At 46.1% G+C, this 16,445-nt stretch overlaps 1 protein-coding gene and 1 long non-coding RNA gene across 5 annotated transcripts, besides 5 other annotated features; one reads left to right on the forward strand and one right to left on the reverse strand.

Moving 5' to 3' along the window:
- On the reverse strand, positions 1,025-16,309 carry PPP1R3B (protein phosphatase 1 regulatory subunit 3B). 4 transcript variants are annotated; one of them, NM_001201329.2, is made up of 2 exons: positions 16,117-16,309; positions 1,025-6,438 (listed from the first exon to the last, which is right to left on the reverse strand). In NM_001201329.2, exon 2 carries the CDS (start codon positions 6,419-6,421, stop codon positions 5,564-5,566), a length of 858 nt encoding a protein of 285 aa, NP_001188258.1. In that variant the 5' UTR covers positions 6,422-6,438; positions 16,117-16,309; the 3' UTR covers positions 1,025-5,563. The 4 variants fall into 4 exon arrangements, with proteins under 4 accessions (NP_001188258.1, XP_047278191.1, NP_078883.2 ...); XM_047422235.1 differs by having other exon boundaries at positions 1,025-6,445; positions 16,116-16,309; NM_024607.4 differs by lacking the exon at positions 16,117-16,309 and adding an exon at positions 15,333-15,428.
- Positions 5,259-5,758: an enhancer, noted in NCBI's record as "H3K4me1 hESC enhancer chr8:8997999-8998498 (GRCh37/hg19 assembly coordinates)". NCBI's record gives its function as "activates a minimal SCP1, AML or CMV promoter by ChIP-STARR-seq in naive H9 embryonic stem cells {active_cell/tissue: H9 hESC(naive)}" and the evidence as "EXISTENCE:reporter gene assay evidence [ECO:0000049][PMID:30033119]".
- PPP1R3B-AS1 (PPP1R3B antisense RNA 1) lies at positions 6,189-10,280 on the forward strand. Its single transcript, XR_007060810.1, has 2 exons — positions 6,189-6,568; positions 10,021-10,280. It is a non-coding gene; the product is annotated as a PPP1R3B antisense RNA 1 (long non-coding RNA).
- Positions 14,828-15,776: an enhancer, noted in NCBI's record as "H3K27ac-H3K4me1 hESC enhancer chr8:9007568-9008516 (GRCh37/hg19 assembly coordinates)". NCBI's record gives its function as "activates a minimal SCP1, AML or CMV promoter by ChIP-STARR-seq in primed H9 embryonic stem cells {active_cell/tissue: H9 hESC(primed)}" and the evidence as "EXISTENCE:reporter gene assay evidence [ECO:0000049][PMID:30033119]".
- Positions 15,413-15,682: a silencer, noted in NCBI's record as "silent region_18905". NCBI's record gives its function as "represses an Ori minimal core promoter by ATAC-STARR-seq in GM12878 lymphoblastoid cells {active_cell/tissue: GM12878}" and the evidence as "EXISTENCE:reporter gene assay evidence [ECO:0000049][PMID:35858748]".
- Positions 15,823-16,062: an enhancer, noted in NCBI's record as "active region_26981". NCBI's record gives its function as "activates an Ori minimal core promoter by ATAC-STARR-seq in GM12878 lymphoblastoid cells {active_cell/tissue: GM12878}" and the evidence as "EXISTENCE:reporter gene assay evidence [ECO:0000049][PMID:35858748]".
- Positions 16,183-16,432: a silencer, noted in NCBI's record as "silent region_18906". NCBI's record gives its function as "represses an Ori minimal core promoter by ATAC-STARR-seq in GM12878 lymphoblastoid cells {active_cell/tissue: GM12878}" and the evidence as "EXISTENCE:reporter gene assay evidence [ECO:0000049][PMID:35858748]".

The raw sequence follows: 16,445 nt of genomic DNA on the forward strand, positions 1-16,445 counted from the left end.
GGGAAGCCAAAGAGGTCGGTGGCAGAGCTTGGATTGGAAGCCAGACTTCCTGAATTCCAATACCTTCCAGTGGCTCTCCATGCTCACCAGAGGCGTCACCCGGAATATGTGAATGTCCTCTGTGGGGGTTGTGGGAAAAGCACCTGGCACTGCTTTGTATATGGAAGCTGAGTGGTAAATGTTCAATTGAATTACTCAGAGCTGGACATTTGCCATTCTGGAGACATTGCTCTAGAAAAGTGTTTTTTTCTTATTTTTATTCCAGACATTCCTGAGGTGTTGGTCTCACAACTTATGATTAGGTAATGATTATTAAAACCTCACTGAACCTCAAATAGACATTCACGAAAGCCAGAGTTAACGTCTCCACCCTTCCTATGTCTGTGAAGGCAAGTTGTGGGCAGAGTGTAAAAATCTGGAGAAAGTTACGTACGGAGCTCACTTTTTGCATCTACACACTAGCTGCTAAACTTTAATACACTCTGCCTTTCCACTGGAGCCACCGCCCACTTCCCCAGGGTGGCAGAGGACTTGTTGACATGGAACTTCTAGATGCAGCTTCCCACCCCCACTCTGCCTGCATCTTGTCCTGAACTTTGGAAAAAAGCAGCTCTGGAAATCTCACTTAGGGTGACTATCCGCTACCTATCCGGGGCTGTTTTGTTTTGCTGCTTAGTTTGTTTGCTCAAGCAGTTAAAAGCTATGGTAGCCATTTATAGTTTTCCTGCTTTTGTTTGAATACGTCTGTCTGCACTGTACTTCAAGTGCAAATGACAGGGTAAGAATGCCTATGACCTAGGATCATTAAAAATGGGTGCAGAATAACACTAGCTCCTGTATCTCTTCCCTAGCACTTACCTTCTCAGCTATGCTAAAGCAATTAACTCCTCTCTGCCTTGCACATTTAACTCAGCCATTGACTGCAAGCTTTTTCTTTGGAAACCTAAGATCTACATGTGGAAACATATCGATTTGAAATGTTTCTCCACTTACTCTGGCTCTAAGAATAGAAGGACACTTTCAGTTTTGTTTTGTCTTCCTTTATTACATTTTTGCTTTTGAGATACAAACCAACCTCTCATACCACACAAAGAACATCCATTCTTGGGATTTTTAAAGTGCATTTCCCCTTGAACTCTGTGTACAAAAATATTTATCTTTTAAAACATGCAAAAATTTCTTGACAAGGCACTTTTAGGTATAAAATGAAGATGAGTCCTTGGTTCTACATTCACACTGAAGTAATAGTGAAACATCATCACAGCTGCACTCTCAAAGCCCTCAGAGGTCCAGCAGTCTCTAAAAACTCGTCAACAAGACTAAAAACATTCACGGCTTTACAATGTGGGTTACAGAGCTTTACAACCATGACCAGGAAAAACTGCTCGTAACAACAGCTGTCCTTCCCAGTTCCACATGTGTTGTCTCACTGCAGGAAATTAAGATAAGCTGCCAAATTGTCTTTGTGTGACCCTATAAGATCCCATCATCCATGTAACTTCTTGTCTCCGATTTCAGTGAACATGTCAGGAGAGACGTGATCGGGACTCTCCCAGGACTACATTCAGGTGAGAAATTTTAGAAGAGGAAACAAATAAAAGGCAACCAAGGTTTTCATCCCCTATCCATTGAGAGGGAAGATCCAGAAAATGGGCAGTTCCAAAAAAGGAACACTTTTTTGATTGATAAGCATATATGGCCCATTTAATGTCCATGACTACAACTAATGCCTTTTTTCAAAAAGAAAATGGTTTGAAAAGATCAAAACCACAGAGCAATCTCCTAACAGTTCCAAATTTACATCTTCTAAGAATGTATAATTTTGCCACCATTAAAATGAAATCTTAAAGGTAAATTAAATTCTCCCATTGACTCTGACATTGTTTTAATTTCTGGAGAACTGTACAGCTTCATTATTTCTCACCAGCTCCAGTAGAATAATTTTTTAAATAAAGAAACCCACTCAAATGCTTCATGTCTTCCAATAGATACTGAAAGCTTATTTATTAAATATCTTTGTATAATCCAGCTTATTTATTGTACCCAGTTTGCAAATGCTCCTCAGGGCACTTGAGGGAATAAATATAAAACAAAAATGAAGTTGCTTCCCTATTGCCGGACAACTGCACCTGTGACAGGTGGCTGGTCTTTCTGGGGCAACCTGGGAAAGATTCTGGGACTCGGGGGCCACTTGTAACCATAACCAAGAGCTGTCTGAAGGCAAATCTACAAGTCAAGGTGCAGTGAAGTCTCCAAGTAAGAAACCTGTCACCCTCTGAAGTGTGTAGGCTTATCTACTGATGATGAGCTATCAAACAAGGAGAGAATACATCAGCGCAGCTCCCGAGGCCTTCTGAGAATTTCACGGGACAGAACTGGGCCAAAAGGAAGAAGACTGTTTGCGGCAGGAGGGTAGCAGAGGAGCAAGTGGTAAACAGAAGACAGATAGAAGGCAGTATTCTTCAGACCCCCATACATCACTGAATGACAGCCCTGATGAGGAAACTCAGGCAAGTAGAGTCTTTTATTGGAGAAGAAGGGTCTTTGCGAGCAGGTGAGGACTTGCCTTCTGAACTGTGCGGCAGGGTGAGCATCCCAGGTGTGCTGGCTGGGGGCTTGCATCCAGCACCCCCAGCAAAAAAAGCCAGGGTGAGCTGGGAGAAAGACGGGTAGTGGGGAGGGTTTACGGCTGCTTTAGAAGAGATAGTTATCACTGAATTACCATATTTCAAATTTTGACATGGGAATGTCTTAAGATCATTATTAGATAAAATTAAACTGACTTTATTAAACAGAGTCACTTCAGGCCTTTTTCTTATGAACAGAGTGATCCTTAGTCGGGTAACATGTCAATGACAGTGCACTCTGTGCCTCTCCTGCATTGTGGGGAGGGCACTTCTTAAGGCAAAGTAAAATTCAGGACCTGCATGAAATCAGTTTTGCTTCCATTTGAGTTCGATTTATGCTATTAATAGTTCTGATCACCAAATTTATAACATTTAAAGTACTGTCTGTTACCCGATGTCTGGTATGTTTACATAAAACGTGGTTCTGCCCAGTAACAGCATAAGGTAAAAATGTGATTTCCCCTAAAATTATAACATCATGTCATCCTAGAGTGTTACCCACCTGGGAGAGGTACAAAAAACAAAGCATTAGATTTCAGGCTAAGAACAGCCAGTTTTAGGAGTAAGAATTACATCGAATAGCCTTAAGAGCATTTAAAAAGTCAAGGCATCTTAAACTTCAGAAATGAAAACAAAACCAAAACAAAACAACAACAAAAACAACCTAACCCAACCACAAAACTCTAGGAGCCAAGGCACTCAGTATCTGCCTGTTGGTTATGTACAAAGCCACAAATGGGAGGTCTTTTCAAATTAATCTGGAAAATCCAAGCACAAGACTCTTAGCTTGAAAAGCCTGACAACTCTGCCTCCAAATCCAGGCAACTGTGCTTCCACTCCTCTTCTTGCTTGCCTTAGGAAAACTTCACTTTAGTAAGATAAGGCAAAACAGAAAATAAAAGAGTCGTTTAACCAAACTCCAAAAACAAACAAAAATAGAAAATAAAAAACCAACTTCCTACAAGTATACTTGTAAAAATATATTTTTAAAGCACCCCTAAGTAAACACCAATCTTGCCCAAGAAAAATCACAGGTTTGGGGCCTATCTGATAATGACTGTCCCGGAAGTCTCTCTTTTTTGAGACAGTTTCACTCTGTCGCTCAGGCTGAAATGCAGTGACGTGATCTCGGCTCACTGCAACCTCCACCTCCTGGGTTCAAGTGATTCTCCTGCCTCAGCCTCCCGAGTAGCTGGATTACAGGCGCCTGCCACCACACTCAGCTAAATTTTGTATTTTTAGTACAGACGAGGTTTCACCATGTTGGCCAGGCTGGTCTTGAACGCCTGACCTCAGGTGAGCTGCCCGCCTTGGCTTCCCAAAGTGCAGGGATTACAGGCATAAGCCACCACACTCGGCCCCAGAGGTCTCTTTTACAACAGCACTAACCAACAGACTTTAGTCCAATATGGTTAAGAACAATGAATCTCTGAAATTTCAGAGTTGGCAAACGTTTAAAATAACGTATAAGAACTTGGGTGAGGTTTTTCTCCCCTATCTCTTTACATACACACCATAAATAAGAACACCCAAGTCCATGTCCCTGGGTGCTGGTAAAGTGTTCTAGATAGTGTGAATCACAGTCACGATAAAACCATTTTCTGAAGGTTTCGAGGAGATATTGGATATGCAAATCAAATGTCCTAAACACAGCAGAAAAGATGACTCTTTGGGAAAGGAGATTCAAAATTCTCTTTTTTTTTCTGTTTGAGACGGAGTCTCGCTCTGCTGCCCAGGCGGGAATGCAGTGGTGTGATCTCGGTTCACTGTAAGCTCCGCCTCCCAGGTTCCCGCCATTCTCCTGCCTCAGCCTCCCAAGTAGCTGGGACTACAGGCGCCCGCCACCACGCCTGGCTAATTTTTTTGTATTTTTAGTAGAGACAGGGTTTCACCGTGTTAGCCAGGATGGTCTCGATCTCCTGACCTCGTGATCCACCTGCCTCGGCCTCCCAAAGTGCTGGGATTACAGGCATAAGCCACCGCGCCCGGCCCCAAAATTCTTTCATAAAGAATGAGACAAACCAGCCAAGCACGTTAAAGTCATTGAGCTTTCGGGGGAAAAATCAGATTTTTCCGGTGACTCGGGGTAAATGTGGGGACTTAGAAAGCTCCCCCTAGAAGGCAAAAGTAGAAGCTGAAAGTGTCCCCACTCTTGACTGTCCTGCCTTGTCAGAACCCTGCAATCTGTGACACCGCACAGGAGCCAGTGGGTTTTGATGACTGGTGTGTTGCTCTCTGCTGGAATACATCTGTGGGGTCAAGAAGCGGGAGGAGGAAATGCCTGTCTCAACCACTAACTAATTTGCCTTTATTATCTTTTCCTGAACATCAGATCAATTGTGGAAGAACATAAAATGCAAAACATGAACTTGCAGAAAACAAGAGCCAATCCCATTTCTCTTCTGCAGCTGCACTGGAAATGTGCGTCAGCTCAGTGTGTCACAGCAGAGATACACGTGGACGGGGAAGCACAGCAGCTTGCAGGAAAGGCCTGGCTGGCAGAGAGCACCCAAAGATGAACACAATGAACAGTGAGGGTCTCACGCGAGGTGGCTGGGGCTGAGTGGCTTTTGGCGACTGATGTCCCACATCTGAGTGGAGAGCAGAGGAGAGACTCCTCCAGCTTCATCAGCACTGGCATAGGCTTGATTCCCATCCATACCCTTTCCAGCACAGACGTGCACAGACTCTCGTGGCTGCCACAGTGCGAAAGCGCGCCAGCCACCACTGCTCCTTTGAGTGAGACACTGGTTGTGTAATCTGAACCTGGCTGGATTTGCTGTTTAAGAAAGAAGTGAAGAGGATCCTTTTATTTTCCCAAACGGGGCCTCATGGAAGTTCCACGTTGCTCCTCCCTGGCCTTCCATCTCCACTGCACAGTGAGCAGAGCTAGGCTTGTCTGTGGCAGCTCCGCCACGCCCTGTCACCTGCAGTCACTAGTAGTAGGGCCCTAGCTTTTCATATCCTAAGTAACTTGGCCACTCTGGAAACAGACCATAGGAACACCGAGGGCTTCCGAACTGGTCAAAGGATATTCCCAAATCCGGTCCACTGTGGGGCTTGGTCATTCCCTGGGTAGATTTTAACTCAGCCCGGATGATCCTATAGTTCTTGCCTCTGTTGCTGTCCCAGTACGTCTGTCCATTGCACTCGTAGTACACAGCAAACTCCATTCTTTCATAAGACTGAATCTTCTCGGGCAAGCTGATGTCGAAGGAGAACGTGTCCCTGTCTGAACCGGCATAAGTGTCCTTCACGTACTGACAAGGAAAGTCTGTGTAGCTCTTCCAGGTGTCGAACGTCATCCTTATTTTCACGGTCTTCTCAAATGCGAGGTTCTGAACCTTCACAGTGCCTGCAATGGCCTTGTCCTTGAGCACACAGTTCTCAAGGCAGACGTGGTCGGCCTGAAGTCGATTTCTAAAGTCTAAGTAATCTGCAGAGGGCTGGGAAAAATCCAGAACAAAGCTCTCGCTCTCTGCTGTCGTCAAGCTCACAATGTTGTCTAGGAGCTCGGTGATGTTGAATGGCATATCTAGCGGGTCATCGAATTCCGAGAACACTTTGACCATTGTCAGGGCCAGCCCCTGGTTGTCTGCGAAGGACACCCGCTTTTTCACCTTCTTCTCCTGGACAGCCGGGGCCACCATTCCACTGGCTTCATTCTTGCTGCTCAGCTGAATACAAGGCCTCAGTGGTTTGCTGGGCTTTGGTGAGATCTTAAAGGCAAACCTCTCTTGGCGCAAGGAAGGAGCCATGCAGTTGTATCTGTACTCGATGTCCACAGCCATCATGGGGCTAGATGAACAGGCTAGAACCGTGGAAAGGGAAGAGAAGAAAGAAAACAGTGGAGCAATCAGATCAGACAGATGTGTAAAGGCATCATTCCAGCAGGGACTGGCAAACAATATTTCCTTTTATCTATGCCCACCTGGCTACAGGTCAGGATTAACTCTGGTGTGGTCCAGCACAACATGCGTTTGAGAGAAGATTATGTTGTGGGGGGACGAGATGCGGTGGGGGGTGGGGGGTGCTTCAAGGTTAAAACAAACAAAAGAGTATGAAACCCACTAGTTTTAAAACTAAATGCACAGGTTTTTTGGTCAGCATTTCTTGGGGCCTTCCGTTGGCAAATGTGCCACAGAGGATAATCAAAAGGGCATATATACTGTTTTAAAATTTCCCAAATCTATTTGACTAAAAGGGTGTCTTCCACAGATAGCTGTCCTGAGGGACACTATTTATTTACGTATTTTTAGAGATAGGGTGTTGCTCTGTGCCCAGGCTGGAGCGCAGTGGCGTGAGCACAGCTCACTGCAGCCTCGACCTCCCAGGCTCAAATGATCCTCCCACCTCAGCCTCCCAAGAAAGTGGGACCACAGGCGCAAGTCACCATGCTTGGCTAATTTTAAAAAATTTTTGTAGAGACAGGACTCGCTATGTTGCCCAGGCTGGTCTCACACTCCTGGCTCAATCCATCCTCCTGCCTTGACCTCCCAAGGTGCTAGGATTACAGGTGTGAGCCTCTCTGCCTCTCTTTATTAATTGAGAAGTAAAAATTGTATATTCTTATGGTGTACAACAGGTTTCCATATATGTATACATTGTGGAATGGCTAAATCGAGCTATTTAACATGCATTATATCACACTTTTTTTGCAGTGAGAACACTTAAAATCCACTCTCAGCAATTTTCAAATATATAACATATCATTACCAAGTATAGGCACCATATTGTACATCAGATCTCTTGAATTTATTCCTCCCGTCTACCTGAAATTTTGTATCCTTTGGCCAAAGGATACCTCTCCAGTCCCTCTACCCTCACTTTCTGGTAGCCACCCCTGTACTCTCTGTTTCTATGAGTTTGACTTTTTCAGATTCCACATATAAGTGAGATCATGCTATATTTGTCACTCTGTGCCTGACTTATTCACTTAACATCCTCCAGGTTCATCCCCGTTGGCACAAATGACAGGATTTCCTTCTTTCTTCAGGTAGAATGGTATTCCACTGTGTTTATATACCATGTTTTCTTTATTCACTCATCCAATGATGGGCACTTAGGTTGATTCCGTATCTTGGCTTAGTGAATAACGCTGCAATGAACATAAGAGTACAGATAACTCTCCGATACACTGACTTCAATTCCTTTGGATATATGTCCTGCAGTGGGATTGCCGGGTCATATAGTAGTTCTAGTTGTGGTTTTTTGAGGAGCCTCCCTACTATTTTCCATAATGGCTGTACTAATTTACATTCCCACCAGCAGGAGACAAGGGTTCCCTTTTCTCCACGTCTTTGCCAATACTTATTTTCTTTGGTCTTCTTGAAAATAGCCATCCTAACGGGTGTGACGTGACATCTCATTGTGGCTTTATATTTGCTATAATCTGATAAAAAGAAATGGATTCATCCCACAAATAGGGATTGGGTGTTTCCTATATGGCAGGCATCAAGCAAGATACTGGGATTCAATAGTGAAGATAGACACAAACCTGCTTTCATTAAGTTTATGGTAGGTTTTTAAATGTCAGGATACCATTCTTTTAAAAAGAACCAGCAGGCCTGGGCGGTGGCTCACGCCTGTAATCCCAACACTTTGGGAGGCTGGGCAGGTGGTTCATCTGAGGTCAGGAGTTTGAGACCAGCCTGACCAATATGGTGAAACCCCATCTCTACTAAAATTACAAAAATTAGCTGGGCATGGTGGCATGCACCTGTAGTCCCAGCTGCTCTGTAGGCTGAGACAGCAGAATTGCTTGAACCTGGGAGGCGGAGGTTGCAGTGTGCAGAGATCACACACTCCAGCCTGGGCCACAGAGCAAGACTCTGTCTCAAAAAAAATAAAAATAAATAAAATAAAAACAACCAGCAATTTCGTATTCTTAAGCCTTTAACATAGGTGAATATTTGTTTTTTCCACAAGTAAAAAATTGGCTCTATAAGAATAAAAAGCAAAGAGAATCATGCTGAAAGAGGATAAATCTGAGTTAACAAAAACTATATTTTCTTTAAGTAAAAACGATAAGTAAAACAAAAAAAGACTACAGACAAACTGTGAAAATATTTTACAATAAGCATAGCAGCAGAGCTAATACCTTAATATGTAAAGTGTTCTTACAAAGCAATAATAAAGTCAAATATTCCACATAGAAAAATAAGCAAAGAACATGAATAGAAAATTCATGAAAAAAAATTTTAAAGTGGCCTATAAATATGCAAAATGTTCAACCTTATTATTAATTTAAGAAATTTAGATGAAAAACAATGTCTGTTTTTTATTTATTGAATTAGGAAAAAAATTGAAAAGATAATACAAGTTTTTCTTTTTTTTTTTTTTTTGTTTGAGACTGGGTCTTACTCTGTCACCTAGGCTGGAGTGAAGTGGTATGAACATGGCTTATGGCAGCCTCCACCTCCTGGGCTCAAGCGGTCCTCCCACCTCAGCCTCCCGAGTAGCTAGGACCACAGGCATGAGCCACCATGTCCGGCTAATTTTTAAAAAATATTTTTTTGTAGAGACGAGGTCTCACTATGTTGCTCAGACCAGTCTTGAATTCCTGGACTCAAGCAATCCTCCCACCTCAGCCTCCCAAAATGCTGGGATTTATAGGTATGAGCCACTGTGCCCAGCCAATGCAAACATTTTCATTAGTTAAAATTGGTACAAACTTTCTAATTTTTTAATCATTTTTTATCCTAATATCACATAGAGACATTTATCCTAGGTAAAGAATTAAAAACACACAGAGATTAAGGTACTAAAATGTTCAATGCCACATTATAGGGGGAAAAAGATGACAAAATAACCTAGGTGACCATTAACAGGTACCTGGTTAAATTAAATGTACCACATCCATGTGATGTACTTTTATTTTTACTGTTGTTATTTTTTCCTTTTTTGAGACAGAGTTTCACTCGTGTCACCCAGGCTGGAGTGCAATGGCACAATCTCGGTTCACTGCAACCTCCACCTCCCAGGTTCAAGTGATTCTCCTGCCTTAGCCTTTCGAGTAGCTGGGATTACAGGAGTCTGCCACCACGCCCAGCTAATTTTTGTATTTTTAGTAGAGACAGGGTTTCACCATGTTGGCCAAGCTGGTCTCAAACTCCTGACCTCAGGTGATCCACCCGCCTCGGCCTCCCAAAGTGCTGGGATTGCAGGCGGGGAGCCATCATGGCCAGCCCATGTGATGTAATTTTATATCATCATTAAAGCCATTATTTTAAAAAAGATTCAAATGAAATGAAAAAAAAATATTATATATTTATATTTATGTCTACATATGTATATATATATAGAGAGAGAGAAGATAAAATTGTACATAGAAACTAGACTTGTGGGGAAAAATGCTGTTGTCACTTCAACGACATGAGTTTGAACTTTGTAGGTCCACGTATGCTCAGATTCTCTTCTGCCTCTGCCGCCCTGAGACAGCAAGACCAACCCCTTCTCCTCCTCTTCCTCCTCCTCAGCCTACTCAACGTGAAGAGGATGAGAATGAAGACCTTTATGATGACCCGCATCCACTTAATGAATAGTAAATATATTTTCTCTTTCCTATGATTTTCTTAACATTTTCTTTCCTTTAGTTTACTTTACTATAAGAATACGGTATATGTTACAAATAAAATACAAAATATGTGTTAATCGACTGTTGATGTTATTGGTAAGACTCTGGTCAACAGTAAGCTGTTAGAAGTGAAGGTTTTGGGGAGTCAAAAGTTATATGTGGATTTTTGACTGTGTGGGGGCTAGGCTCCCCTAGACTCCATGTTGTCCAAGGATCAACTGTATTATGTAAATGCAGAGAAAAAAGACTAGAGATATATATTTAAAATCAGAATACCTAGGTGACAAGATTTCAGGAATTTCTGGTATCCTGGTTTGTATTATATCTTCTAAAATAATATTGCTTCTATCATCAGAACAAAATGAACCTAAAAAAAATCCTCAAATATTTTATGATATGCCAAAAACCCATCCCATCACTACTGCCTCACTAAAGCTGAGCACTTTTTTTTTATAAGACAGGATCTTGCTGTGTTGCCCAGGCTGGAGTGCAGTGGTGCAATCATAGCTCACTGGAACCTCAAACTCCTGGGCCCAAGCAATCCTCCCGCCTCAGCCTCCAAAGTAGCTGGAACTACAGGTGTGCACCTCCATGCCCAGCTAATTTTTCAATTTTTATAGAGGCAGGGTTTCACCATGTTGCCCAGGTTGGTCTCAAACTCCTGAGCTCAAGCAATCCTCCCGCTTCAGCCTCCCAAAATCTGAGCACTTTTTATCATTCTAATTACCATGGCAAATTTATATTTTGATTTGACAGTTTCAATGGACTAAATTAAGGAAATGAGTGCCGAAACTAGGATTAAAATCTCAAGTCTGAGAATCACAGAACACAGGATCTGGATGAGTCCCCAAACCTATCTCCCCTCAACCTATCTTACCCCTCCTTATGGCACAGGTGTAGGTGTGTGATGACGTGTTGGGGAGCTCACTCTCAAGCAGCCATGGCCACCCCTGAGAAGTGACAGGCAACATGCCAAGTGTCTTCTGTAAAGAGCTGGGACCACTGGTTCAGTTCTATAAATAACCTCTCATTTTCACCTTCTGATTGTGATTAACCAAACATGTAAAGAAAAAAGGTGAACGGACGAACACATATCAGATTTGACCCCATTTTTCCAAAAGTACAGAACTTCCCTGGGATGCAAGAAACCCTTACAGATGGCCAGTCAGAGAAATACACATATTCGGAAACAAATAAAACAATAACTTATGGCCAGAATGCAGGTGCTTAAACATTCATTTTAAAGGATATCTGTCTCACTGTTTCCCCTTTAAGAAAATCAATCTAGTGAAAATTTTAAGGGCAAATTTGCTTTCAATGATCTGTTCTTATAGCCACGTAACTGTTCTGGAAAGGAAAGTTCTGACTGAATTAGGCAAGGTAGGTTTGCAGAGGTTCCACGGATTGACTAACAGGTTCAATGTAAAAAAAAAATCCTATACTTACAAAATATCTAAATTTTAGTTACTCTTGTCCTTTGCAAAACTGTGCTGGAATTATACCCTCAGCTCTAACTGTAACACAGGTAGTGTTTTTGTTTTGTCTTATTTTTAATTTTTTTTTTTTCGAGATGGAGTCTTGCTCTGTTGCCCAGGCTGGAGTGCCGTGGCGCAATCTCAGCTCACTGCAACCTCTGCCATCCGGGTTCAAGCGATTCTCCTGCCTCAGCCTCCCAAGTAGCTGGGACTACTCGTGCCACCACCCCTGGGATTACAGGCGTGCACCACCACCCCCAGCTAATTTTTGTATTTTTAGTAGAGACGGGGTTTCACCATGTCAGGCTGGTCTCGAACTCCTGACCTCATGATCTGCTCCCCTCAGCCTCCCACAGTGCTGGGATTATAGGCATGAGCCACCGTGCCCAGCCTTGTTTTTAAACAAGTACGAAAACCAAACAAGAGGCTATATCTGGCATCCCAGTGCCCCCCACTCTACCCATCCTGAAAAATCTGGGTGTGAACTGAGGGAGGAAGGGTTCCTCTTCACAGCTTCCTCCTCAACTGAGTCAGCACAGGTTATCTGCAAGTTCTCTTTGCACTTCCAAGAAGCCTGCAAACCAGCCTCCTACGTGCTTTTTCTGCATGTTAGGAAAAGCCTTGGAAACTCTCAAGATATTGTGGAAACAGCCAAAGCAAAAGGATCAATCAAAGAATCTACACACAGCCCACTAGAGCCAATGTCCCAAGTTCTAATCCCGCAGGCTGAAGAGACTTAGCTGAAGACCTTGGTAGAGTTTCACTGTTTCACCCCAGTGGCATAAATTTGTCCCTGAGATCCCTTTTTATCACCAAGCTGTAAGAACAAGCAGAAGTCCGGCTTGGAGAGGCCAGGCTCTAGTCAGAGCCAGAGCTAATTAAACAATGCTGCTGGCACTTGAAGGAGCCAAACTGCTATTACAAGATTCTTCCATGAAAGGCAAAAGTAAGGTTATGATGGCTCAAGAGTTACCCGCAGGACTACTACCCCAGGGACATTGCACAAGCAACCCCAGTCTAGAATCCCTTCACTTTGTGTGTCACCATAACTGCAGGTGAGGACATTAACCTGTGTGGCCTCAATCTGGGGTATGACTCGACTGTCAGTCACCTTGCCTGTCCCACAGATAGCTTCCAGATTTTATTTACCAGGTCATTCTCCAAGAATCAGCACACCAAAGTGCTGGTTTGGTGTAGGCTTTCCTGAACTGCTCAGGAACTCCCCAGCGGACTGTGACAGGGATGGCTGCCGCCATGCAGAAGTACTCCTAGCAACTGAGATGTGCAAGGTAATATTAAGTTCCTGAAAAGAAGGCACCTGGACAGGTGCTTCTTTTACAAATGACATGAAAATGATCGGTTCCAACACAGGAAGCACCAGGCTGCAGCCCAGCCTCCTCTCCTGACAGACTCTCTGGCTGCTCCAGCTCTGTCCTTTTCCCAGGCCAGGGAATATGAGTCACCAAAGTTGGCCAAGGGGGAAAAAAAAAGAACCAGAAGTTATGGACATACATTTGAACCATGAGAGCAGGACTCAGGATCTGATACCAGTTGCAGGATAGGAATGAGTGTATGAGTGCTGCTCCCAGGTAGGTATGAATTCTCAAACACTTGCTTCCATAGAGATGCCTCAGAGCTCAGGGATCAGTTTCTCTGGTGAGAGACTGGGCCATGCTTGAGGGTAGATTACAGTGTTCATGGCTAAGACAGGGCAAACCCTAACAGATCATGGAGATAGTTTTGCATAAATGCTTTATCTGTTCCACTCATAACACACCTTCTCAAGACAGCTGGCCAAGGTTAGACGGCCATGGTGATAACTATAGACCTGCACAGAAAATAACCCTATGACCTTCACGGTTTCAGGCAGCTGAACTACTGACTTTCTGGCTGTACCTTTCATAGGGAGGAAATCTTTTTTGTATCAGGGCCACGACATTATCCCCTCCATTCTCTTATTCTCTCTCTCTCTTTCTTCTGGTAAGAAAAGACAAAAAGGCCGGGCGTGGTGGCTCACGCCTGTAATCCCAGCACTTTGGGAGGCCGAGGCGGGCGGATCACGAGATCAGGAGATCGAGACCATCCTGGCGAACACGGTGAAACCCCGTCTCTACTAAAAATACAAAAAAAAAAAATTAGCCGGGCGTGGCGGCGGGCGCCTGTAGTCCCAGCTACTCAGGAGGCCGAGGCAGGAGAATGGCGCGAACCCGGGAGGCGGAGCTTGCAGTGAGCCGAGATGGCGCCACTGCAGTCCAGCCTGGGCGACAGAGCGAAACTACGTCTCAAAAAAAAAAAAAAAAGGCAAAAAAAGGCCGGGCGTGGTGGCTCACGCCTGTAATCCCAGCACTTTGGGAGGCCGAGGCGGGCAGATCACGAGGTCAGGAGATCGACACCATCCTGGCTAACACGGTGAAACCCCGTCTCTACTAAAAATACAAATAAAAATTAGCTGGGCGTGGTGGCGGGCGCCTGTAGTCCCAGCTACTCAGGAGGCCGAGGCAGGAGAATGGCGTGAACCCGGGAGGCGGAGCTTACAATGAGCCAGAGATGGCGCCACTGCACTCCAGCCTGGGCGACAGAGCGACACTCCGTCTCAAAACAAACAAACAAAACCAAACAAACAAAAAAATCAGATGCACAAGCAACCCACCAGGAACACTGAAAGCTGCCGAACTGCATTCAGTAAACATTCACAACCAGGTTATAATTTTCATTTTTAAAGACATGGCCATCTACCTCCCTCCAACAATTCTGTGTTCCCTTCCAAAAGGTTTCACTGATCCAGCATGAAGAGAGTGCATGTCTTTCCCCTTTGTACTCAGACCATGGGGGCCTATTCACAGCCTTAAAGGCTCCTTGTACCCCTTGATCCTGTCCCCATCATCCAAAGCATCTTGGAGACTGACATTTGTGAATACAGTTGCATATTCTAGGAAAGAGGCAAGTTCAAATGACACAGCCCCTGCCGTCTAAAAACGTACGAGGGAAAACAGAGTACTAGGCTAAGAATGCCCGCACCTTGCTTTGCTACTTGAGCGAGTCACTCAGCTGCTCTGGGCTTGAGGTCCCCTCCAAGGTCCCTGCTGGCCCTGACATTGTATGTTGCGACCCACCCCTGGTGCCGCTTCTCTTCCCACTAACTTTTTTTCCTAAATACCTCAACTGTACTTTTGTGTAAGTCCTCCAGCTGTCTTCACTTTAGTTTTGGCTCCTGGACAACTCTGCCCAAGGAAACATTTCCTCCTCTCCTCCTCTTCCTCCCAGACCAAAGCTCTAATTGTCTCTTCTGCTGCACCCTGGGTCTCCCAGGCAGGCCCCCGCCACTCAGACCACAGGTTCCAACACCTTCCAAGTCTCCAAGTTCCCAAGTCCAGTCTTTCCTCTGTTTTCTCCTCTTTTTCAGAAAACAGTGCTCTGACAGGCCCCAAATCTTCCAGTAAGTCATTACCGGCCCCCACTCCCTCTTTTGCAGCTACTGTGCCTTCCACACCCCTTTTTCTGGATTCCAAAGAGACGCAGGAGCAGGCCAGTGCTCTCCAGGCTGGAGGATCCCACAAGTTACTCTCCGACTCTGTCCCCTCCGTCCAGTTTGACCAGGGCTGCACTCCGCCCCCAACCTCCCTACAAGCCTCCTTGGCCTCGCGCCGCACCCACCTTTTGGGCCGCGGAGAAGCCCCCTCCCCAGCTCGCTCGCCGCATCGGAGAGCCCGCAGGGTTGTGGCAAGCGCGACTACGTGAGCGTCGGTGTGTCCGGGAGGCAGGGCCTGGGCTGGGTTCCCGGAGATGTCGGCGGTGGGAGGAAGACGACGAGGAGGAGGAGCCCGTTATCGCACCCGGGCGGGGCCGGCAAAGGGGCAACCCCGGCCGGAGCAAGCAGCGCGACACCAGCACCCCCGCGCGGCCGCCTGGCCTCCGCCAGCCCGGGACGGGGATCGTGCTAGGTCCCGTCGCCCTCGGTGGCCTGAGAGCCTACCAAGTGTATTTCCTCGCGTTTTATAGGGAAAATAAGGCCCGGAGAGAGACGAAGCGGCTTGTCCTTAAGCTCCAAACCCCACTACCCAACTTTGGAGAAGTCTCCAGACCTCTCGGGACCCGGGGCTGGGAACTTGTGCTAGTTTCGAAGCCAGAACAACAGGTGGTAAAGGGATCAGCCGCCGCAGCCGCAGCTCCCGGGTCACGGTCGCAGCCGGGCCCAGCAGCGCGGTGGAGCACGTGGGCCCGGGAGGCGCTTCCCAGCTGCGGTCCCTGGATCGCCCTCTCCACGCTGAAGCAACAGCTCCCTGGGGCCAGCTACCTAGAGTGTTCCAGCCCCGGTGTGCCAGTGCAAGTCGCACGGTGAAAATGTAGGTGACAGGAACCCAAAGAGGTCCCCGCTGCACGCCCTCGCCTTGTTGTCCCCAGCCCTTCCCTCGGACTCGAGACTTGGGGAGCTACGTACCGGGTTCAGCTCATAAGTCCCGAGGGCAGACGCGCCAGCCCGCGGCAGCATACGCCCTGGGGGAACAGGGACAGCTGCCGTGACGGCAGGAGCTGGGCCCGGGCTCGGGTTCGCGCCCCCCGCGGGCGGCGAAGTCCGTCCGTGCACGAGAGCTGCGCGGTCACCTCCTCCCTCCAGCAGTCACCCGGGACTCGAGCTCCCCGCGGCCGCGCTGCCCCCTTTAACTTTCCTGCCAGCTCTCGGGACCCCGGGGTCCATCCCAGGCCCCCTGCCACGTGAACGCCCCCCGCAGCCAATGGGCGCGCCCGGGACTCCAGCCGCCGACCAAT

This window comes from Homo sapiens, chromosome 8, assembly GCF_000001405.40.
Source record: "Homo sapiens chromosome 8, GRCh38.p14 Primary Assembly".
In the NCBI taxonomy this organism is placed as follows: domain Eukaryota; kingdom Metazoa; phylum Chordata; class Mammalia; order Primates; family Hominidae; genus Homo; species Homo sapiens.

Coding starts and splice junctions, on each gene's coding strand:
- PPP1R3B (NM_001201329.2), bottom strand. CDS start 6,421: ATGATGGCTGTGGACATCGAGTACAGATACAACTGCATGGCTCCTTCC.